Source organism: Homo sapiens, chromosome 16 (genome assembly GCF_000001405.40).
Source record: "Homo sapiens chromosome 16, GRCh38.p14 Primary Assembly".
Classification (NCBI taxonomy): Eukaryota; Metazoa; Chordata; class Mammalia; order Primates; family Hominidae; genus Homo; species Homo sapiens.
Genome location: NC_000016.10, coordinates 75318371 through 75343446, shown reverse-complemented (window position 1 = coordinate 75343446; position 25076 = coordinate 75318371). Strand labels below are relative to the sequence as shown.

The following is a 25076-nucleotide window of genomic DNA, read 5'->3' as shown; positions in this document are numbered from 1 at the left end:
ACCTTTTTTGCTGGAAAAAAATGGAGTCAACACATTTAGTGTAAGGAAACCATAGCCAGGCTGTTCCACGACTCCTTGAGGACTGCTCAGAGGTGGAATCCTCAACAGAGGAACTGCTATTCAGCAAGAGAGAACATGCATGTGCGGAGAGGCCTGCTATCTAGTGCCAGCAGCATTTTGTTCTCTAAAGAGCTAAAATGTAAAGGAGTTTTTGCTGGAACATTTTTTAACTTATTTAGTGTCATGTAGTAGAGCCTTGCAGTTTAGCCCAGGGACTTTTTTCCATTTTTCTGAGGACAAAGCAAGTCTCTGTCTTCCCCAAGAACAACCAGAAGTTGGTACCTATGGGGTTTGTTCACTAATAGTCCTGACCTTAAATCTAGTTGTTTTCTTCCAGGGAGCTCAGAGTGCCTTACCAGGGAGACTGCCATCCTCCATGCAGCAGATCTCCAGTGACCCCATTGGATTGAGGGGGTGCCATCTCACCTAGGGCAGACTCCTCAACCTTAGCACCACTGACATTTGGGCTGGATAGTTCTTTGTCCTGTGCATTACAGCATGTTTAGCAGCATCCCTAGCCTTTACCCACTAGATGTCTGTAATATCTTCCCCAGATTGTGGCAACCAAAAATTTCTCCAGACTGTACCAAATGTTTCCTGAGGGCAGAATGACCCAAGGTTGAGAATCACTGCCCTGTGGTTTCTTCCAAAGGCAAGAGGAAGATTGCTGATTCTTAACCTAGCCACCTAACCTCAAAATATTTGTTCTTCTTCCCCCAAGTAAGAGCCTAGAGAAAGGATGTTTTTTTTCCGCTGTAGTATGCAGATAGAGCCCACGTGTGCAGATGTACAGGGCCAGGCAGAACTCTAACTCTGCATTTGGCTTTGGCTACCATTAGGGGTGGGAAGTGATGAGCCAGCAGTGACCTCCTTACTACCTGCCCCTTTTGTTCCAAGTAAACAAACTTTTACAGCCTTTCTGTTAATGAGTCAGCTGGTAAAGAAAACAATCTACTTTGCCAAAGCTATTCTGAAGCTGAGACATGGCAGAGTTTTGGATACATAAGTTCCTGTTATACTGACTTTTTCTTCCTGGCAAATGAGGAAGGATACTAGTGCAGACAGGAGTGCCAACAAGGATTTGTGACTGTAGCAAGTAGCAATTTTTTAAAACAATACATCCCAGACTTTTCCAGCAATGGTAATTCAAAAGCACCAGTGTTCTCTACATCTTAAAGTAAAAAGTAAACTTCGATGTTAACAGAGGGTTATAAAATCATTGGCATAGCAGAAGCCACAAATCAATCCTGACAGTGAATTTTTGGCAATGTGCTGGCCTTTGGAAACATCTGTTGGTGTGGCCTGTGATATTCAGGGATGAGGTACATCCTTAAAAAAGCTATTTAACTTGGAATGTGTGAACTATACAAATATTAGGAATTAATAAAATGCCACTGGAGTTTTAGAAGAGAAAGAGACCACAGGGACCTGCTTCTTTTGCAGGAAAGGGAAGTTAAGAGAGGCAAAGGACCAGAACAGAGTCGAAAGACCTAGGTCTTTTGATTGCTCCAGCTAGAGTTACTTTTCCATGGAACCACACTGCCTCGTTACCTGGCTGCTTGAGTACAGCAATAAACTGAGCACAGAAAGGGAGTCCTAGAAACGGTGGAAAATACTAAAGCAAGAAGAAGAAAGAGAACAGGACAGCTTGGCCTCCCCCAGAAATGCTATGGCTGGAGCTGTGGAAAGTGTGTCAGCATTGCAGGGTCAGGCCTTTTTTTTTTTTCCTTTCTACACTCTGCTGAAACCTTCTGCTGTCAAAGAAGCCTTCCCAAATTGCCAGAGCAATGCCAGACATAGGAGTTGCATTTATAATCCCCTCACTGAGAGGGTTCCCTTGAAGTTTTGCTTTAAACTCTCTGCTAATCTAGCCAATCTCTTATTTTGGAGAAAAACTACCAATCTTCTCTTGACAGCCTCAAGATAATCTCTTCATAATTTCCTTCCTCCAAGGTAGATGCTAGGAACAAACAAAAGAAAACCTTTCTGAACATTATAGCAAAGCCAGTTAGGTTGCCATAGGGTTATTAATAACTTTGAATCCCACTGTGGACTAGGAATAGTAGGTCCCAGTTAAGAACAGCAGCTGTCAAAGAGAATTGTAGCTGGTGGTATGTGGTGCAGGTGGACGGGTGGGCAATTACTGCTGCAACTTGCCTAATTTACAGCCATTAACATTTACATAAAAATTCATTTAAAAACTGGTGCCTTGTCAGGAAGACCCAATGAGATGCACATAGCATCATTAGGAATAATTAACTGGAGAGGGAAGAAAGCATTAGAAAGTGCTCTGGGAGTGGAAGCACTGTGCATGCCCAGTGTGTCTTTGGGCCAAATGTAACTCCAGCCTGAGAAAAGAATGGTCATCATGAAAATATTTTTTTTACTTCCAAGTCAGGAAACAGACTCACAATGGAGTCTACTTCTCTGCTTGGAATTTTGAGAGGTGCAGGAAACAACCAGCCATTACCAGCTGAGGTTTTCCTGCTGATAAATGAACCCTGAGGCCACAGTGACCTGTCTTGTTAATGAGTTAATGAAGAAGCTGGTCCTCGCATTGACCTCATCCTTAAAAGCTTTCTGTAGAGCTGAAACAACATTCCTCTCATTTATAAGTTAACTCTTTTCTTACTCAGCAGATGAAAAACAGAAGACAGAAAAGAATCTGTGACAGAGAAGTAGAGCGTCTATCAATGGGCTTCTCTTTCTTAAGTTTCTTAAAACTTTAACTTCACTTGCAGAAAGAAATTTCGTCCAAAAAATAGTTCCTCTTATTGCAGAACCTTAATAAAACTGGTTTTTTATTTATGTTCTGTTTACCCCAAAGGCAATGACATTTAATGAAGAATTTTCCTACTCACTCTGACAAGAAACTGGTTGGAATAGGCAACATAAGTGGTTTGAGTTTATGTAAATATTTTAGTGTGGAGGGAAATAATGAGAAAATTTTACTCTGTAAATAAATGTTATTAACCAAGCATCTTATTAAAGGGAGCAGATCCTGTCTGTAGCTTACTAGAGAAGAGAAATAACAGTCTCCTTTAAATTGGGTTATATTTGAGTAACCAAAAATGAATTCTTCTTCTAAATTATTTCTTCTCTTAGTGATTGATTGTTGGTGATGTCCCATAATTTGAAGGAGGCTCCAGGGTTGTTGTCGATACCTCTGTTACAGGATCATCGTAGGAGCATTGCGGTCCTGGAAATGTGATTTTATCAGTCGATTAGATTGCGATGAATTGATTCATGACAATCATAAGGCTGGCGTTACATTTGTCTTACAAAACTCAAATGCTTGCTTATTAACTTAAAATTACTATTTCAGTAACTAGAGGAGTCTGTCCTATTGAGGCATGCAAAAACTAGTATGAGAAAATAATAAACAAAACCAGAAAAATCATAAAAAGTAACAGGAAGATTTGTTTGGTAAGCAAAGCAAAGAAAATGGATTGATCATCTTAAGACATCTTCTCCATGTGCCATTTAAAGATTTTTAAGGAATCTTTGTCTTCCACTATAAGATCCTTGGTATTAGTGGTTCATATCTAGAACAGCTTCTACCTGGTGAGTGCTGAAGGGCTCCTGTTAAGATGGCTCTCAAGTTGGCAGACTGAACATGCATCACATGTATGCCCCAAATCCCTAATATGTTAGATATATGTCCTGGCAATGCTAGAAGAAAAGAAGCATCCTGAGAAGTCTAGAAATCTGAGGAATTCCTAAAGGGCAGAAGGCTGAGGGAATCAAATTAAAGGTGGAAGTCAGAGTCCAGAAGCCCTGCATATCCTGCCCTTCCCCTGTAACCGATGGAGATTGGCAGTGGTGAAGTAATGCAGCATTTACACACCGAGGATCTAGACAGCCATGAGCAAGCACATAACAGTCGCCAAACCATCATAAAAGAAACACCAAACTGAAGAAACTGAAAAGCTCACATTGGAGGATCCTAATAAGAACCTAAAGAAGACTTTAAGGGAAGTGAATTTATCCCTGAAAGAGATAAAAAGAGAATGCTGCACTCATGAAATAAGAAAAAAGAATGATTTTTATTTCCTAGACCTTGGAAATAAAACATGATCCTTTAGTTAGAACCTCATTAAAGGGTTGAGTAGCAGAATGGATACAACTAAAGGAAGAAAGTGAGCAGGACGAATGAGCCAAAGAATTGTCCTAGAATATAAAATAAGACAAAGAGATAGAAAGGCTGACAGAAAAGTGAATACAATAAGGAGGCTCATTTCAGAAGTTCCAGTGTTCATCTAGTAGGAGTTCTAGGAGGAGGAGACAGAGACAGTGGAGGAGGGAGCAAATAACCAATGAAATAATGGGAGAAAATTTCCCAGAACGTAAGCAACAATTTGTAGATTGAAAGGGAACACTGAGTGCCCACTGTGAAGTTATGAGTTTAAGAAGACTCAAATTGTACACATATAATGGAAGCGTCCAGAGAGAGAAAACTGGCCAGCCTATAAAATATCAAGGATCAAGTTGGCATCAGAGTCTTCTGGTAACACGCAAGAGGATGATAAAGTAACATATTCAGAGTTCTGAAATAGCATAGTCCAGAACCTAAGAGTCTGTACCCACAGAAGCTATCCCTTAGATATCAAAGGCAAATGAAGACATTTTTCAGGTGTGCAGGAACTCAGTTTCTCATTCATAATCCCTATTTTATAGAATTATCAAGGGATGTTGTCCAGAAAAATGAAAGGGGGGGATCAAAAAGAATAGATGAGCAAAAAAACAGAAAATGCATTAGGTCAGTAACCCTCTGGAAAGTGAGCAGCTGCACGCTCTCAACAGCAGTGACATCACTAGACGCAGGTAGAAACAGCCACCCAGAAGTTCTCATTCACACTGTGCTCTGATATCCATTGCAGTTGTCACCAGAAATCCAGTCCTCCAGATCATGCTCATCTTTAAGATGCTCATCTGTACTCTGCCCTGAACATTCCCTGAATGGACCCCTCTCCAACCCCTCCCTATCCTCTGCTTCTGTGTACACACTAGAACCCATTGGTTCCTTTCAGTCTCTGCTTCCTTGATGAATGATCCCTTTATCTTCTTGCCTTTTCTGAAATGGCCCAGTGGTCCCCTGGAAACACTGCCACCTGCAGCAACCTCAGGCAGAGGCTCTTTTTCCCCCCCATGCTTCACATTCCCCAAGAGTGAGAGGTGAAGTAAATGTCTCTTTTGTAACCCATCATTGCTTCCAAATTCTCCCTGTCTCCTGGATTTGCCATTGAGTTCAGTGGAAGTACAAAAGTATCCAAGCTAAGAAGGGTAAGAGGAAATGAACAGAGAGCAGAACCTTTGAAGTAAAAGTTGCAGCAGTTTCATTGGGTATGAGAGAATGCCGTGTGAATAAGTGGCTGAGCTGGGTGAAAGACAAAGTTGATTGGCTCTGAGAAGGTTGAAAAAATTGAGGCCAGGTTTGGATCATCTGTGGATACTGAAGTCACTTGAAAGAGAGGAAAAGGGAAAACGAGCAAACTCCTCCCAAGTGCTGAAGTCGTTGGTCAATGATATGGTTTGGATTAGTGCCCCGCCCAAATCTCTTGTCCAATTATAATCCCCAGCATTGGAGGAGGGGCCCGGTGGGAGGTGATTGGATCATGGGCATGGACTTCCCCCTTGCTGTTTTCGTGATAGTGAGTTCTCATGAGATTTGGTTGTTTAAAAGTGTGTGGCACCTCCCACTTCTGTCTCTTCCTCCTGCGCCACCCATGTAAGACGTGCTTGCCTCCCCTTCCCGCCATGATTGAAAGTTTCTTGAGGCCTTCCCAGCCATGCTTTCTGTACAACCTGTGGAACCATGAGGCAATTAAACTTCTTTTTTGTATAAATTATCCAGTCTCTGGTAGTTCTTGATACCAGTGTGAGAACGGACTAATACAGTCAGTGACAGGGGATTGAGTGACTGGAGAGGTTAGTTGTGGCAGCAATAAGGAGGGGCAAAGGTCAGTAAAGCCTAATGGCCTGCGCCTCAAAGTAGCTCTGTGTTTGGCTAAGAAAAGAGGAGGGAGAGTTTGGAAGCAGCGACTCCACCATCCTTCCAGTGCCAGTACCCATGGATCTTGCCTGCCTTGTGGTACTGCCTGTGGCCGCTGCTCCACCTTTGTGCCGGGCCTCGCTCCCTCTCCCAGTGTCATCATTCCTGCACTTAGTCCCTCTCACATTGCTGTCTTCTCCCTTTCAGCTGGATCATTCGCATCAGCGAGCAGAGTAGTACCTGCCTTAGTAGGAAGTTCATTTTAACTGAGACAACATCCTTCAAAGGCTTAGAACAATGATACATTCATAATTTTTTTTAAAAACTTGTGCATGGCAGAGACCGCCATAAACAAAGACAGCAAACCAGGAGAAAACTATTTGCAACTCAGAGCCAAACAAGGTGCAGATTTCCATAAGATCCCCTACAAATCAATAAACATAGCAACTGTCCAGTTTTTAAAGGGCAAGGAACCAACAGCTCGCAAGAAAGGAAATACAAATGGCTCATACATTAGAAAAGATGCTAAATTTTGTTAATAAAGAGACAAATTTAAATGACAAGGAGGTGCCATTTTTCACCATATTGGTAGAAATCCTAAAATAACACTTTTGACAAGGGTGTGGCTATCCATGTTTGTAGTAGCACAGGATTGCCATTGGCAGTCCAGCAGTAACCACTGTTGAATAAATTATGGTTCTTCCCTACAATGGAATAACATACAGCTTTAACAGAATGAGGACATGTTTTGTGTGCTGATCGGGAATGATCCCTGAAATACATGGTAGATAATTGAAAAAGCTAGGAGCAGAATAGTGAAGGGGCATACAGCCATTTAAGTTGTTAAAGAGGGGTATATGCATTGTTTGTATGTGCAGGAAAGGAAGAAGTGGAGGGTCTTCTCCCGGCTAAAGCCAAACTCTCTTTTCTGTTTCTGACCAGATTGTGCTCAGGATCACTGCCCGTTCTTGCTGCTTACAATGTTCTTGCTCCCTACCTCTCATCACTGAGCTCTCAACTGTCCCTTCTCAGAGAGGCCTCCCCAGGCACTCTAGCTGCAGCCCAACTTCCCTGCCCCCTTAACTCCTGTGCCTGCCAGGATCTAGCATCTTCACACAGGCTCCTGTGCTACCTATCTGCACCACAAGCATTTGGCTCCTTGAGGGCAGTGTCTTGTTCTCTGCTCTATTTCCACCTCCTAGAACAATGTCTGTCTGGCTGAGAGAAAGTGCTCAGTGTTTGCTTAATAACAACTAAAATCCTAAGTGATACTGATTCTGATGATGATAGTAGGAAAGAAGAAAAGGGCAGAGGGGCAGCTGCAATTTTTTTCCCCACTTATTTGGGGGAGGCTTATATTAATTTCATTTAGATTATTTTCATCCCCTTCTAATTGTCTTCCCCCCAATTCTGTCATTTTGAAGTCAGTCATCTATTTTTTGTGTTAGGTCGAACCGCTACTATATCCTTGGTATTTTTTACTCTTGCTTGCAGAGCTTTATTTCCAGACACAAATGTAAGCTAAATACATGGAGATTTGGTCAGGCGCGGTGGCTCACACCTGTAATCCCAGCACTTTGGGAGGCCGAGGCGGGCGGATCACAAGGTCAGGAGATCGAGACCATCCTGGCTAACACGGTGAAACCCCGTCTCTGCTAAAAACACAAAAAATTATCCGGGCATGGTGGCGGGCGCCTGTAGTCCCAGCTACTCGGGAGGCTGAGGCAGGAGAATGGCGTGAACCCGGGAGGCGGAGCTTGCAGTGAGCCGAGATCGTGCCACTGCACTCCAGCCTGGGCAACAGAGCAAGACTCCGTCTAAAAAAAAAAAAAAAAAAAAATGGAGATTTGTCAAAAGTGCTTATAGATAAAGTAGGAAATCAGTTGAAGGGGAGATAGTCTGTGAACTGTTAATGATTGTATATGCAGAGAATCTCTCCGGATGGACACATAAGAAACTGGTAACAGTGGTTGCCTTGGAGAAAAAATAATTTGGTGGGAAGGGAAAAGGGTGGGAGATTTTTTTCAGTGTGTCCTTTTTTGATCATTTTGAATTTTGACCACGAACATAAGCCAAATAAAGGTTTAAGTTATTTTTCCCCCTAAGGGCAAAGGGGCACTGACAAGACATCTAACAAGTTACTATGTCATATTCTAATAGCCCAAACACGTAATTGTAAATCAAGATACCTCAGGGCGTTTGAAGCCCAACCAGGGGGGAACTTACCACATTTATGAGCTGGTAAGACCAGCCTGAAATAGAATGATCACAGGATTAGGTAGGTCCGTGGACTGTAACCCACATGAAGAATAATTTTAGGGGTACATGAGCCATATCTCAGCTTCCACACACATGCCCTTAGTCTATCAGTTGACCTACTGAATAGATGTTTTGCTTTGTCTCCAGACTTTTCTTTTTTTCTTTTCTTTTTTTTTTTTGAGGCAGAGTGTCTCGCTTTGTCGCCCAGGCTGGAATGCAGTGGCATGATCTCAGCTCACTGCAACCTCCACCTCCGGGGTTCAAACGATTCTTGTGCCTCAGCCTCCCAAGTAGCGGGGATTACAGGCATGCACCACCACACCTGGCTAATTTTTGTGTTTTTAGTAGAGACTGGGTTTTGCCATGTTGGCCAGGTTGGTCCTGAACTCCTCACCTCCAGTTATCCGCCTGCGTCAGCCTCCCAAAGTGCTGCAATTACAGATGTGAGCCACTGCACCTGGCTTCTAGATTTCAATTTCATAAGGTTTAGCTTGTGCTTTGGTTTCTTCGTAAGCCTTGTCTTGACAGATTTCAACATGAATAGTAAAAGAGGGGCAAGAGACTTATGCCTAAGTCACCCTTCTCTCTTCCTCCCTCCTTTATAGAAACCTCCTCCACCCTCTGCGCTGCCTCCAGCTGATGGCTTCTGCTTAGCTCTAGGTCAGCTGGCCATCTAGTAGCCTATTTCTGGGGCTTGTATCCCAGGAAAGTGCAGATGTTCTCTAGAGCACTTCGGGCTGGCCGGATTGTCTCGACAGGTGGGACTGCCGTACAGTTTTATCCTCATTACCATCGTCTTTCCCGGTCCTTTTTACCCGTCTGTTGTTTTAAAGGGTTTTGTTGGGATTAATTCATTACAGAAGGGGAAAAAAGAAGCAAACGTTTGCTTAGCTGCAGGGTTAGGGTTAGGGTTAGGGTTAGGGTTAGGGTTAGGGTGCTGCGAGGAGGAGGCAAGTCAAGTCTTGGATGTGTGAGAGTGGGTGGGGCTGGCAATGATTGGCCCTTGAAGATGATCTTGAGGTAGCTGGTATTTCCATACCTCTGTTGCACAGAGGCTCTGGCAGAACATTCATGATTAATAATGCTCACAGCCTCTCACAGAGTTAAATTGGTCTCTCTGTGTCTCAGTCACTGAAGTAGAAAATGTGAAGGATTGATTTATCCAGGGTGGGGGCAGCCCAGAAGTCTTGGCATCTTCACGCCTTGCTCTAACCACCATAACTTCCTTCCTTATTTTTGAATCGCTTGTGGAGAGAGCAAAAAAAGTAATGGGCTGTCTTAAAAACCAGAATGTGGTATGAAAGGCTTTAAAGACTTCCTTTCTTCATCTTTTTTTACTTCCCTCTATTTCAAAAAAACAGTAACAACTTTCTGGTTTGATGACAGTCTGTGGCATTTCAGGACTTCCCTTCCTAATTCTCATTTGACAGAGCCATTTCCTGGGATCACCGTTGGCTCAGCAGAACAGCATATATCTGAAAGGGGCATCCATCAAATATTTTTGTCTTTTAAAATTTAGCCTGCAATAAGTATAATGGTTCTACATTTGCTAAGATAGAGAATTGGCTTCTAAAAGCAAATAAAGAAGAAATGCTGATCATTTTCTTTCTTCAAATCTGTGACATTACTACTTTTTTCCTTTTTTGTTGACTTAGTAGCCATGCAAATAATCCTCCTTCTGCCCATCGAAAGATGTCATTAAGAACATGAATAGGCTGGGTGTGGTGGCTCATGCCTGTAATCCCAGCACTTTGGGAGGCCGAGGCGGGCGGATCACGAGGTGAGGAGATCGAGACCATCCTGGCTAACACGGTGAAACCCCGTCTCTACTAAAAATACAAAAAATTAGCCAGGCGTGGCGGCGTGCGCCTGTAGTCCCAGCTACTCGAGAGGCTGAGGCAGGAGAATGGCGTGAACCTGGGAGGCAGAGCTTGCAGTGAGCTGAGATCGCGCCACTGCACTCCAGCCTGGGCGACAGAGCGAGACTCCATCTCAAAAAAAAAAAAAAAAAAAGAACATGAGTAGGCTGGCTGGGCGCAGTGGCTCACGCCTGTAATCCCAGCACTTTGGGAGGCCGAAGCAGGCAGATCACCTGAGGTTAGGAGTTCGAGACCAGCCTGGCTAACATGGTGAAACCCCATCTCTACTGAAAATACAAAAATTAGCCGGGCATGGTGGCAGGGCCCTGTAATCCTAGCTATTCCAGAGACTGAGGCAGGAGAATCACTTGAACCTGGGAGGCGGAGGTTGCAGTGAGCTGGGATCGCGCCACTGTACTCCAGCCTGGGTGACAGAACGAGACTCTGTCTCAAAAAAAAAAAAGGAAAAAAAAAAAAAGAACATGAATAGGCAAGCCACAGACAGAAAAAAATTGTAAAATATATATCTGAAATATGTTTTTATATATAAATATATATAGAACTGACTATATAAAAAATATAGACAACTCTTTTTTTCTCCTTCCCCAAGACAGGGTTTTCTTGCTCTGTTGCCCAGGCTGTGGTGTAGTGGTGCAATCATGGTTCACTGCAGCCTCAACCTCTCGGGCTTAAAGGATACTCCCACTTCAGCCTCCCAAGTAGCTGGGACCACAAACAAGCACCACCACATCGAGCTACTGTATTTTATTTTTTATTTTATTTTATTTTATTTTATTTTACTTTTTATTTTTGTAATGGAGTCTCACTCTGTCACCCAGGCTGGAGTGCAGTGGCACAATCTCTGCTCACTGCAACTTCCACCTCTCAGGCTCAAGTGATTCTCCTGCCTCAGCCTCCTGAGTAGCTGGGATTATAGGTGCGTGCCACTACAGCGTGCTAATTTTTGTATTTTTAGTAGAGATGGGGTTTCACCATATTGTCCAGGCGGGTCTCGAACTCCTGACCTCAGGTGATCCGCCCACCTCGGCCTCCCAAAGTGCTGGGATTACAGGCGTGAGCCACCGCACCTGGCCTAATTTTATTTTTCGTAGAGGGTGGGGTCTGTCTGAACTCAGTTTTCTAAATGGCAAAAAAATTGACAGACATTTCACAAAGGAAGATAGAAGCGCATGAAAAGTGTTCATCATCTTAGACAATAGGGAAATGCAAATTAAAATCATAGTAAATCTCAGTTTATACTCCTGAAAAGACTAAAATGAAACAGACTGAGTAACAACAAATATTGGTGAGAATATGGAGCAGCCAGAACCTCTTAAAACATACATAGCTGATGGTAGGACTATAACGTGTGAGAGTTCTTAACTTTGGAGAACTGTTTGGCATTAAAGTTAAATATACGCCCACTCTATGACCCAGCAATTCTAAGTTTTCATCCAAAAGAAATGAAAACATCTCTACAAAAGCTATACAAGCCTGATAGTGTAAAACTGGAAACAACCAGGTGTCCATCGATAGGAGAATGGATAAACAAAGTGTGGCAATAACAAGGAACACACAACATGGATGAACTCAAAAACATTGTGCTGCATGAAAGAAACCAGACACAAAAGAAAAAAATAACGTATTATTCCATCTACATAAAGTTCAAAACAAGGTAGAACTTATCTGTGATTATAAAAATCAGAATAGTCGTTGCTGGAGGGTGGGGAATTGACTGGGAAGGGAACTTCTGTGATGGTGGAAATGTTCTATATTTTGACTGTGGGTATGAGTTACATAGGGGTATACATTTGCCAAAACTGATGGGAGATAAATAGTACCTTTAATCTGTGCATTTCAGGCTGGGCATAGTGGTTTACGCCTGTAATCCCAGCACTTTGGGAGGCCGAGGTGAGAGGTTTGCTTGAGCCCAGGAATTTGAGACCAGCCTGGGCAACATAGCAAGACTCTGTCTCTACAAAAATAAAAATCAAAATTTTAAAAAATCTGTGCATTTCACTGTATGTAAGTTTTGATGCCAAGTAAAGGGAGGAGAGGACCCTGGGAAAGATGAAAATGACTGAGCCATTGGCTGCTCATCCTTCTCCCCTGCTGTCATTGCACGAATTCTGATGTGGAGAGAGGGACACAAACTGCATTTGGCCCCCACTGGAACAGGGCAGGTGCAGAGGCAAGCAGAGCCTTGTGGCAGAGGAGGCCTGTCCTGAATAGCTGTGAAATAAGTCCCATTGCCCATTGAGGTAGCCCTGGTGAATAAGGCCCACTTTGTGTTTTTTTTTTTTTTTTTTTTTTTAATAATTGGAATTTGCTTCATTTTATCATAAGGACTGGCCTGTCTGCCTCAGAGGCAGCCTTCAGAATAATAGCAAATTGTGCTACTTGGACTCAGTGTACTTGGGGATGTACAATGGAACTTGATAATTAGTAAAATGAAAGACATTCTCATCTTACAAGACTTGTAAACTCTTTATAGTCTACTTAGCATACAGAATTACCAAGAAATAAATATGATTCTGCATAGCTTTTCCAATGGAAAAGAGCAATAAATTGAGTGTTTTTTCCTAAGGAAGAGAATTCAAAACCAGCTGTAGAAGAAAGACCTCTCCATCCTGGCCTTACCTCTGTCCTGAAGCCAAACTTTCATCATTTGTTTTTGTTTTTGTTTCGAGATGGAGTTTCACTCTTGTTGCCCAGGCTGGAGTGCACTGGTGCTATCTTGGCTCACTGCAACCTGCACCTTTGGGGTTCAAGTGATTCTCCTGCCTCAGCCTCCCTAGTAACTGGGATTACAGGCATGCGCCACCACGCCTGGCTAATTTTTTTGTATTTTTAGTAGAGATGGGGTTTCACCGTGTTGGTCAGGCTGGTCTTGAACTCCTGACCTCAAGTGATCCACCTGCCTTGGCCTCCCAAAGTGTTGGGATAATACACGTGAGCCACTGTCCCAGGCTTATCATTATTTTTGAAAACTAGCCTCAGGCTGTCTTAATGACTAGGTCCAGCTGACCTAAATTGAGTCCACAGCCTTGCCCATTTCAGTTTATCTCCAAGCCATAATGTGTGGATAATTACTGAAGTAGTCATGTGGGTCATTGAGGAATATCAGGAGCTTTCGCTACAGCAGTGGCCTTCAACCCTTAGTGCGCTGCTAGTGAAATGCAAATATTGGGACTCTGTTCCCTGAGAATCTTGGGGTCAGGGAAGTAACCCTAGAGTTTGCATTTCTAATAACCTCTGGGGATTCTAAAGCACGTGGTTCTTAGCACTGAAAAACACTAAAAAATATAACAGGTGTTTGAGGGAGGAGGAGGAAAGAGGAATTCATTCTTGGTATTTATCAGGCACTGTCAGGGGCCATAGCTCCCCAAGAACAGGAACCATGCTTACTCTTCTGTATCCCTAGCATCAGCATGGTTGCTAGCACTGAGTAAGAATGTAAGACATTTTGAGTGGATAAATTCATTAAAACAAATTGATAAATGACCTATACATAGGGTGCTATCAAATACAACTCTCTTCAGGTACTTTGATGTTATAAAAAGGATTGCACATGTAGACAGTCTTTATTAGGAATAAACAAGAAACATGTTAAGTGACAACAGTAGCAGAGATAAAACAGCACATGTTCAAAATTAGGAAAGCCAATGAGGCAGGAGGATTGCTTGAGCTCAGGTGTTCAAGGCTGCCATGAGTTATGATCATGCCACTGCACTCCAGCCTGATTACAGTGAGACCTTGTCTCTTAAAAAAAGAAGCAGTAGCAGCCAAGAGACTAAGATCAATTAAGCCAAACTGGTTATCACGGATTTTTTTTTTAACATCAAAGTCACACGGATGCATAATTTGAAAAGTCAGAATGTACTGTACAATTGCCTGACTCAGTCCTGGGTCCACTTGCCAGGGGCAATCACTTTAAACTCTTAGCTGTTTCTTTTGGTATTTTTGTCCATATTGTAAAATTCTGTGCTTGGGCTGATCGTGGTGGTTCATGCCTGTAATCCTAGCACTTTGAGAGGCCAGTGCAGGCAGATCACCTGAGGTCAGGAGTTCAAGACCAGCCCGGCCAACATGGGGAAACCCTGTCTCCACTAAAAATACAAAAGTTGGCCGGGCACAGTGGCTCTCATGCCTGTAATCCCAGCACTTTAGGAGGCCGAGGCGGGCAGATCACCTGAGGTCAGGAGTTCGAGACCAGCCTGACCAACATGGAGAAACCCCGTCTCTACTAAAAATACAAAAAAATTAGCCAGGCATGGTGGCGCATGCCTGTAGTCCCAGCTGCTCGGGAGGCCGAGGCAGGAGAATCTCATGAACCCAGGAGGTGGAGGTTCCAGTGAGCCAAGGTTGTGCTGTGGCATTCCAGCCTGGGCAACAAGAGCAAAACTCCATCTCAAAAAAAAAAAAAAAAAATTCGCTGAGCATGGTGGCATGTGCCTGTAATCCCAGCTACTCGGGAGGCTGAGGCAGGAGAATTGCTTGAACCCAGGAAGCAGAGGTTGCATTGAGCCAAGATCACACCACTGTACTCCAGCCTGGGTGACAGAGTGAGAGTTCATCTCAAAAAAAAAAAATTATGCTTATTATACTGCTATTTCTTTATTTATCAGTATTTATTGACTTCCTCCACTCTAGTTTTTTTTTTTTTTTTTTTTTTTTAAGACAGAGTTTCATTCTTGTCGCCCAGGCTGGAGTGCAATGGCATGATCTTGGCTCACTGCGCCCTCCGCCTCCCGGGTTCAAGCGATTCTCCTGCTTCAGCCTCCCGAAGTAGCTGGGATTACAGGCGCCTGCCACCACACCCAGCTATTTTTTTTCTTTTTTTTTTGTATTTTTCGATGAGACGGGGTTTCACCATGTTGGCCAGGCTGGTCTCGAACTCCTGACCTCAGGTGATCCACCTGCCTCGGCCTCCCAAAGTGCCAGGATTGCAGGCATGAGCCACCATGCCCGGCCATCGCTCTAGCTTTTAAAACATACTAATTCCTGGCTCACGCCTATAATCCCAGTGCTTTGGGAGGTCAAGGCAGGAGGATTGCCTGAGGCCAGGAGTTTGAGACCAGCCTGGGCAACATAGTGAGACCTCTGTCTCTTAAAAAAAAAAAAAAAAAAAATCAAGTACCAATTCCTGTTTTAGAAGAGGATTTAACACTCTCATACCACCTCCTGCCCCTCAACATCCCAGTTCTCTTTCCATTCTTCCAGTTCTATTACATTATAATTTGGTGTTGCCGGGTGCTGTGGCATACGCCTGTAATCCCAGCACTTTGGGAGGCCGAGGCAGGCGGATCACCTGAGGTCAGGAGTTCGAGACCAGCCTGGCCAACATGGTGACGCCCCATCTCTACTAAAAATACACGCAAAAAAATTAGCCAGGTGTGGTGGCGGGTACCTGTAATCCCAGCTATTCGGGAGGCTGAGGCAGGAGAATCGCTTGAACCCTAAAAGTAGAGCTTGCAGTGAGCCAAGAACGCGCCATTGCACTCCAGCCTGGGCGACAAGAGTCAAACACTGTCTCAAAATAATAATAATAATAATTTGGCGTTGACCTGATTATCCAGTATTGTTCACTACTGAGCCATGGCATGGACTATTTTTATTTTCCCTTTCATGTATATGTGTGTATATTTGATTGGCTGGATGGTTTTCTGTCCCCATCACAATTTTTTTTCCCAAACTCTTCAACAAAGCCATAAAATCCTTCTGAATACTCTTTCTACCATACTTTATATTCTACTATAGTCTATACTATTCTACTGTATTCTATAATTTGTCAGTCCCATCCTTCACCTTCTGTCCCCTTCCCCCATTCCCCGTAACATCCCTCTGGGGCCTTCCATTCTCCTGCACAAGTCTGGGCTCTTTGTTCTCTTTGCTTTCTGTGCAGCTCTTGTTCTGGGACTGCCTTTTCTTCCTCTTTGTGGAACTCTGTTTCTTGGATTCCATGTCTTCCAGGTTTATTCCCCTGGTTTTTTGTTTCGTTTTGTTTTTTGAGACAGAGTCTTGCACTGTCGTCCAGGCTGGAGTGCAGTGGCTCTATCTTGGCTCACTGCAAGCTCTGCCTCCCGGGTTCACGCTATTCTCCTGCCTCAGCCTCCCGAATAGCTGGAACTACAGGCGTCCGCCACCACGCCCAGCTATTTTTTGTATTTTTAGTAGAGACAGGGTTTCACCGTGTGCCAGGATGGTCTCGATCTCCTGACCTCATGATCCGCCCGCCTCGGCCTCCCAAAGTGCTGGGATTACAGGCGTCAGCCACTGCGCCCGGCCTATTCCCGTTTTGATAGAACTCATCCTCTAATAACTTCCTCAGGAAAAGGTTTATGGGAGCTAAATTTTTGAAACTTTGCATGTCTGAAAATGACTTTTTTCTCCCTTCACATGTTATTTGTGGTTTTCTGGGTATAACGTTATAGGTGAAAGATGCTTTCCCTTCAGAATTGTGAGGCCATTGCTTCACCGTCAGTCTTCTAGCTTCTAGTGTTGAGAAATCTGAAGCCATTTGGATGTCTTGAATCTGTATATATGACCACATTTTACCGCTCTCCTTGGAAGATTTTAGGCTCTTCTTTTTATCCCTGACGTTCTTACCAGGCACCACGGTCCCCAGCAGTAAGAAGCACCAGTTCCTTTTTGTGTCTTTTTCTAGCTGTTGTTAGCCACCTTACCTGTTCACTGTGCTCCCCAGCTCAGACCACTGAACGAGAGAGGAAGTTTGTGTCTGCATAATTCTCTTACCTTGCCATGGCAGGATGTGAGAGCTTTAGGGAGTGGCCATCTTTTCTGCAGCTTAGCTTGCTGCCTGTAGCAAATTTGTACACCTAAATTAATTCTTTCTGGCAGATTCTGACGAGGAGTTGTTCAGTTGACTGAGTATTGAGTGAGATAATTGCTCCAATTATGTCCATTCAGTGTTGGTTTTTAGCTTCCAGAGTGGACTAAGGCGTTGCTCCTGGCTCATAACGTAGTAGTGTACATGACTTTAAAACTAGCCCTCCAAAACCAAACAAACAAAAGCAACCCGGCTGCAGTGTCGCCAGTGTCAAGGGGAAAAACTCATTTGGCACACAAAAGTCTTTCATTAGGTCCCCTGACTTGGTTGTTATAGAGCTTCATTTTCACATAAAATGACTCCAATATCACTTTTCCACAAAATTCTGTTTTCATGGACCAAAAAACAAAGAGCAAAGAAAAAATTTATCCAGACTTCTCCTTAATTCTGTCCCTTATTTGTTTGTCAACTAAGATATCTTAAACCCTGTACCTCAGATTAATGACAAGATTATTGAACGTTCTGCAGGCTCTCATGAGAGGTGCCTAAGCCAGCCTAGGACAATTTCCAGGCTATTGACAGCCATTCAAGAATGTCTGTTGCAATTAATAAATGGTTCCCTGTGCTTGCTCTGAAGTACTTAGTTCCCCTGTAGAAAACCTAGCTAGCTTGAGTAGCAACTAAGAGGTTAGCCAATGCAGAGTTGTTACTTTAATCAGTATCACTTCACTGGGATTTATAATGTATGACATTGATATGGTTTCCCAAGATCCATACATTCTTTCAACAAATATTTTTTGAGTGCCTACCAAGTGCCAGGCACCCTGCCGGGTGCTTAGGTTATATCAGTGAACAAAATAGACATTCGTTCCAGCCCTTGTGGAGTTTCCACTACAGCAGAGAAATAGACAGTAAAAGAATAAACATAACAAATAAATTATGGGATACATTAGAAAATGCTAAGTGTGATAGAGAAAAGACAATCAGAGGAAGGGAGGAGGACCAGGTATGTGGGATGAAGAGGAAGCTTGCAGTATTAAATAGGATGATCAGCATAAGCCTCATTGAGAAATGGAGATTTGACCAGACTTGAAAGAGGTCAGGAAGTTAGTCAAGGGGATAACTGGGCACAGTCGTTGGGCAGAAGGAATAGCTTGAGGCAAGGCCTCTAAGGTAGATGCATGCCTGAAGGGGACTATACAAGGGGCTGTGCTAGGAGAGGAAGTCTGGGAGGTAAGGACTGGACAGATGTTGTCCCCCACAACTAAGATGTGCAAGGCTATAGGCAGAGCAGACTAGGGCCCTCAAGGCTGTTGGGTATATAAAGCTGGAGTTAGAGTCTGGGCTGAAGGTAAGACATTTGGGGGTCATAGGCATACAAATAGTATTTAAGCCTTGGGACTGGATGCAGTCACCCAAAGAGTGGGTATAGATGGAGAAAAGTCCAAGGACTTTCCATGCTAGAAGACTCCCATATGCCATCAAAGAAGCTCAAATTAACAATCAGACAATTCCAAAGAGCAGGCCATTCTACAGGTAAGGGGACTGTTCTAAATTAAAGGAGACCAACGTTTCTTGGCTTGAAATTTCTCAAAATCAAAAGTTTGTGGGGAAAGAAACCGCCAAAATTTAAAATACACTTTGCTGCCAAAGATGACTTAGCCTCGAAAAAAGAACAAGCAACTTCTGAGTCCCAGCTCCACTAATCTTTCCTAGCAGCAGCAATTTTTTTTTTTTTTTTTTTAAGACAAAGTCTCACTCTGTAGCCCAGGCTGGAGTGCAATGGTGTGATCTCGACTCACTGCAACCTCCACCTCCCAGGTTCAAGTGATTCTCCTGCCTCAGACTCCCGAGTAGCTGAGATTACCAGGAGCCTGCCACCACTCCCGGCTAATTTTTGTATTTTTAGTAGAGACGGAGTTTCACCATGTTGGCCAGGCTGGTCTCAAACTCCTGACCTCAGGTGACCCACCTACCTCGACCTCCTAAAGTTCCGGGATTACAGGCATGAGCCACCGCGCCCAGCCAGCAACAACAATTTTTAAAATTTCTTTCTGGATTCTAGAGTGAGTTTTTTTCATAACACAAGAGGATAAGAGTGAGGACAACAGGAGGTATTGATGATCTGCTGTGCACCAGGCATTATGCTAAGTGCATTCACACACATCTCAGTGCCTGTTGCCTCGTTGTGGACTTCTCTATCCCAGCTCGTCCCCCTGGCAAATTCTTTCTCATCCTTCAACTCTCAGACACCTCCCCCACCCTCTCTATAGCTTTCCCCATCTCAGACTCTTATGCTCTACTGCACTTCCTGTGTAATGGTTTTCTCCTAATGTAATTGCTTGTTTGTGTATCTTTATCTTGTGAATAAATTAAATGAGGGTAAGAAATCTGTCTATCTCCAGTGGCCAAAAAAGAGTCTGGCACACTGAAGGCACTCAACGATAAGGGCTGAGTTGATGAATATCTCATTTAATCATTACCCTGCAAGGTAGTTCTTATTATCTTCATTTTACTAATTGGTTACTTACTTGAGACTCAGAGAAATTAACTTGCCCAGAGTAAAAATAAATACAGTCACACACCACTCGTGTGTTCACAGTGATGCTGGTGTAAACAAACCTACCATGCTGCCAGTCATATAAAAGAGAATAAACAGCTATGTTACTGTTTTATGTATGTATAGTATACTTTTTTTTTTTTTTTTGAGACAGAGCTTCGCTCTTGTTGCCCAGGCTGGAGTGCAATGGCACGATCTCGGCTCACTGCAACCTCTACCTCCTGGATTCAAGCAGTTCTCCTGCCTCAGCCTCTGGAGTAGCTGGGATTACAGGCACGCTCCACCAGGCCCGGCAAATTTGTATTTTCAGTAGAGATCGGGTTTCACCATGTTAGTCAGGCTGGTCTTGAACTCCTGGCCTCAGGTGATCCACCTGCCTCGGCCTTCACAAGTGCTGGGATTACAGGCGTGAGCCACTGTACCCAGCCCTATAGTATACTTTAAATTGTTATTTTAGAGTGTATTCCTTCTACTTGTTAAAAAAAAAAAAAAAGTTAAGTAAAACAGCCTCAGGCAGGTCCTTCAGGAAGGATTCCATAAGAAAGCATTGTTGTCATAGGAGATGGCAGCTCCAGACACGTTGCTCTTGAAGACTTTCCAATGGGACAAAATAAGGAAGTCAAAGACAGTGATATTGATGATCCTGACCCTGTGTAGGCCTGGACTAATGTGTGTGTTTGTCTTAGTTTTTTTTTTTTTAACGTTAAAAAGTAAAAACAGTGAAAACATTTTAAAATAGAAAAAAACCTTACAGAAACAGGGTATAAAGAAAGTTTTTCTACAGCTGTGCTATGTTTTAAGCTAAGCATTACTAAAAAACAGTCAAAAAGTTTTAAAAGATTAAAAAGTTTATAAAGTTACAGTAAGCTAAGGTTAAATTTTTATTGAAGAAAAAAAAATTTTCTAAATAAATGTATTGTAGCCTAAGTGTACAGTGGTTATAAAATCCACAGTAGTGTGCAGTAATGTCCTTGGCCGTCACATTCACTCACCACTCACTCACTGACTCACCCAGAGCAACTTCCAGTCCTGCGGGTTCCACCATTCATGGTAAACTTCCTATACAGCTGTACCTTTTTTTATCTTTTATACACAGGTTAAGTATCCCTTACCCAAAATGCATGGGACCAGAAGTGTTTCCGATTTGGGATTTTTTTTTTTTTTAATATTTGTATTCTACTTAGTGGTTGAGCACCCCAAATCTGGAAATTCAAAATTCGAAATGCTCCTTTGAGTGTCATGTCAGTGCTCAAAATATTTTGGATTTTGGAACATTTTAGATTTCAGATTTTTGGGTTTAGGATGCTCAACTGTACCATATTTTTACTGTACCTTTTCTAGGTCTAGATGTGTTTAGACATAGATGCTTACCATTCTGTTACAGTTGCCTACAGTACTTAGTACAGTAACATGCTATACAGATTTGTAGCCTAGGAGCAATAAACTTTACCACACAATGTAAGCCTGTAGTAGGCTATACTATCTAGGTTTGTGTAAGTACACTCTGTGATGTTGGGCACAACAATGAAATCACCTAACACATTTCTCAGAACATAAGCAACACATGACTATAAATAAAAATTTATTAAGTGGGAGGGACAGGTTTCTACACTGACTGCAAAGCCACTGTACCCAAGTGCTTTAAAAACACAGATCCGAAATAGTGTTGGTGATATCTGGGACTTCACTTTACAAGCAATGCCCAGATATTCTAATATTCCTGTGTAAAGACTAGATTTCTGATTCTTCTTACAAAATGTATGCATGACCATCATGTAGAAAACAAATTAGGAAAGTTTAATAGGCTGGGCGCGGTGGCTCACGCCTGTAACCCCAGCACTTTGGGAGGCCGAGGCGGGTGGATCACAAGGTCAGGAGATCGAGACCATCCTGGCTAACACGGTGAAACCCCGTCTCTACTAAAATTACAGAAAAATTAGCCGGGTATGGTGGCGGGCGCCTGTAGTCCCAGCTACTCGGGAGGCTGAGGCAGGAGAATGGCATGAACCTGGGAAGTGGAGCTTGCCGTGAGCCAAGATCGCACGACTGCACTCCAGCCTGGGCGACAAAGCAAGACTTGGTCTCGAAAAAGAAAAAGAAAACAAATTAGGAAAGTTTAAATGTGTTTCCTATAGGAGGCTGTGATAGATACCAACTGAGAGATGTGTTGTTTCTTCTGGATGCTTATATATAATCTTAAATTTATGGTTTAAAGCAGGGGTGTCCAAGGGAGAGAATACAGTCATGAGTTCTTAGTTTCTGTTTCTGGTTGGGCCCATAAAGCCCCTTCCTCACCCCTCTTTTCCGCTTATCACTAGAGGCAGAAACTGAAAAACATGGCTTCAGGCTGGTAAAAGCCCAAAACAAAACAAAACAATAACAGAATAAGGCAGGTTGGACAAGCTTGGTTTAAAGTATTACCTGAGAGATAGGTAAATCTGTTGAGGCAGAAAGTAGATTAGTAGTTGCCAAGAGCTGGTGAGGGGAATGAAGAGTAACTGCTACTGGATATAAGGGGCTTTTTGGCAGGAGTGGCAATTTTCTAAAATGAGATTGTGGTAATGGATATACTAAAAACCACTGAGTTGTACCATTTTAAATAGGTGAAATCTTTAGAATGTGGATTACATCTCAGTAAAGCTATTATAAAAAGTATTAGCCAGGCTGGGCACTGTGGCTCACGCCTGTAATTCCAGCACTTTGGAATGCCGAGGTAGGAGGATCCCTTGAGCCCAGGAGTTCAGGATCAGGCTGAACAACATAGTGAGATCTTGTCTTGTAAAAATAATAATAATAATTTATTAAAATATTAAAGTATTAGCTGTTAGCTGAGCAAGGCATGATGGCGTGTGCCTGTGACTCCCAGCTACTCAGGAAGCTGAGGCAGGAGGTTCACTTGAGCCCAGGAGTTCAAAACCAGCAAGATCCCATCTCTTAAAAAAAAAATACTAGCTGAGAATAAGAAATAGTAAGTCATCAGATTTTCCAGCATTCTTCCAGAGTACAAGTACATTTAGTAGCTTATATTTGGGTTCTTGTTTCTCTTCATTCTTAGAGGGAAACTATTCCTTGGTGTGACTCAGGTCATGTTTTTGGATTTTGTTCTTTTATTTGCATGAGTCCCCCTCATTTCAGTTGTTTAATTCACATGAGACCATCAATGTCCCATATTCTGAGCCCCTTTCCTTCATCTGAACAGTGAGAACAATGAACACACTCATGCAATCCTTGCAGAGTCACCAGCTGAGCCTCACGGTGACTGGAAGGCCATAGCAAAGCCACTCGTCCCCCAGGAGAGGGTGTCAATCACACACTCTCACAGTCTGGGGTGAGGAGCCCTGGGTCAGAGGCCTTGCTCTCACAGCAGGGAGATCGTGATGCCAAGTTTCCCAAAGCAAATGGCTAATACACAGGGAAAAATCAAAGAATGGAAGGGTCTGCCCTACTTTAGTTGATTGCACTTGATTTTTTTCTTTTTTTTTTAACTAGTTTTCCTTCAAACAATCTGTTGGCAGAGCAGCCAACTTTGTTTCAGCAGACCTTCTTCGTTTGCCAGCCAGTTAACGCTAAAGCATCTTTTTCAAACTTTTTGGCCTTCAGTCATAGTTACACGTTTTACATTATGACCCAGTGTGAGTCATGGTCACATAAAAGCGCATGCTCCGAGGGGGTCTCAGAATGCAAAGAAACTGGACTTGTTTAAGGGTTCATACATCTCCTAGCAGTAGGGATGGGATGAACCTTGGAGGACAAACTACATTTCTGAATGAAAAGGCTGTTTTAGCAACCCCTGGCTAGCAGATTAAGGAAAGAAACTCTACTTACCGTTTTCTCTTGCTCTAGAGATGGAGGATGGGAATTCTTTTTGATGGTCAGTGATACCGTGGGTAAAAATCTTCCATTTGTTAAAGAGAAACAATGTTGTGGTTTACAGATGGCTCAGCTGTGGTTAGCCTCTATGAAAACCATTTCCTGCATGCAGTAAAAAGAAAGTTTTCTGCTTTCAGTATCAAACTACGTGGAAACGAATATTTCTTTGTTGAAATCCATTGTATTGCCTTAGCAAAGTGACACTTAGGGCTCATGCTTAAGTAACCCCATTCTTGTGATCACCCTTGTATAGATGATTGCTTCCTAAGGGCTCTTTAAATCCTGGGTTGTGAGGGGTGGCACCACAGGGGGAACGCTGATGATGCCATATCCCAGCTTTGTGAGGAGAAGTGGAAGCTGCCTCTGGAGGAAGAGGGGCAGGTTGGGATCTGAGCCTCATTAAGTTTTCCCATTGATATTAGTAGAATTGTGGCCTCTAGGAGGCCAGAGCTGCTACCCTGGCAACTGAGTGAGCAAACGATGTTGCGGATGCCACTGAGAAAGTAGATTTGGGAGTCAGGACCCTAGCAGGAGCGCTAAGTGCTGAAAAATGACCTTCACCACTTCAGTCTCGTGTAATGCAACGACCATAAAGCACGTTCCCCCCCAACCCCAGATGTAACTTTGAGGTGTCAAGGATCACAGCTGTGTCCAATGTCTATCTCCTCCTCATTTGGAATTTTGCATGCTTATTTAGTAGCAGTTAGAAGTTTGGGGCTGGGCGTGGTGGCTCACACCTGTAATCCCAGCACTTTGGGAGGCCGAGGTAGGTGGATTATAAGGTCAAGAGATCAAGACCATCCTGGCCAACATGGTGAAACCCCATCTCTACTAAAAATACAAAAATTAGCTGGGCATGGTGGCATGTGCCTGTAATCCCAGCTACTCAGGAGTCTGAGGCTGGAGAATCACTTGAACCCGGGAGGCAGAGGTTGCAGTGAGCCGAGATCGCTCCACTGCACTCCAGTCTGGCAACAGAAACTTCATCTCAAAAAAATAAATAAATAAAGTAAGTTTGGTATTGAGAGGGAGTAATTTTGCAAAATGTGTTCGGCTCCTATGAGTTTCATTTAAAGCTATGTGCTTAATGTGCCTTCTCATTTCTAGAAAGGGGCAGGCATGACTTGTTTTAAGAGAGGTGTCTATGATGTAAGGAATTATTTCTGATTTGACTGAGGACACCCCTGTATCCCAAAACTTTAGCCTAGTCTCAACCTGAGAGGTGCCCAAGAATTTAAAATTTATGTTAATATCCTCAGATTTTTTTATGAAGAGACAGAGACATGCATCCCTGGGAGAAAAAAGAAAGCTGAAAGTCTAAAAGCAGGATGCAGATATTTAAGAAAGCATGCCGGCCGGGCGCAGTGGCTCACGCCTGTAATCCCAGCACTTTGGGAGGCCAAGGCGGGCGGATCACAAGGTCAGGAGATCGAGACCATCCTGGCTAACACGGTGAAACCCAGTCTCTACTAAAAATACAAAAATTAGCTAGGCATGGCAGCATGCACCTGTAGTCCCAGCTGCTGGGGAGGCTGAGGCAGGAGAATGGCGTGAACCCAGGAGGCGGAGGTTGCAGTGAGCCGAGACTGTGCCACTGCACTCCAGCCTGGGCGACAGAGTGAGACTTCATCTCAAAAAAAAAAAAAAAGAAAGAAAGAAAGCATGCCAACTCCCTAATCAACAGTC

At 43.3% G+C, this 25076-nt stretch overlaps 1 protein-coding gene across 2 annotated transcripts in view, besides 1 other annotated feature; it reads left to right on the top strand.

Annotated features, from left to right (window-relative positions):
* Window positions 1–25076, top strand: part of CFDP1 (craniofacial development protein 1) — a 139794-nt gene that overhangs the window by 90057 nt on the left and 24661 nt on the right. The gene's annotated exons all lie outside the window — the stretch shown is intronic.
* Window positions 23645–23814: an enhancer, noted in NCBI's record as "active region_11128". NCBI's record gives its function as "activates an Ori minimal core promoter by ATAC-STARR-seq in GM12878 lymphoblastoid cells {active_cell/tissue: GM12878}" and the evidence as "EXISTENCE:reporter gene assay evidence [ECO:0000049][PMID:35858748]".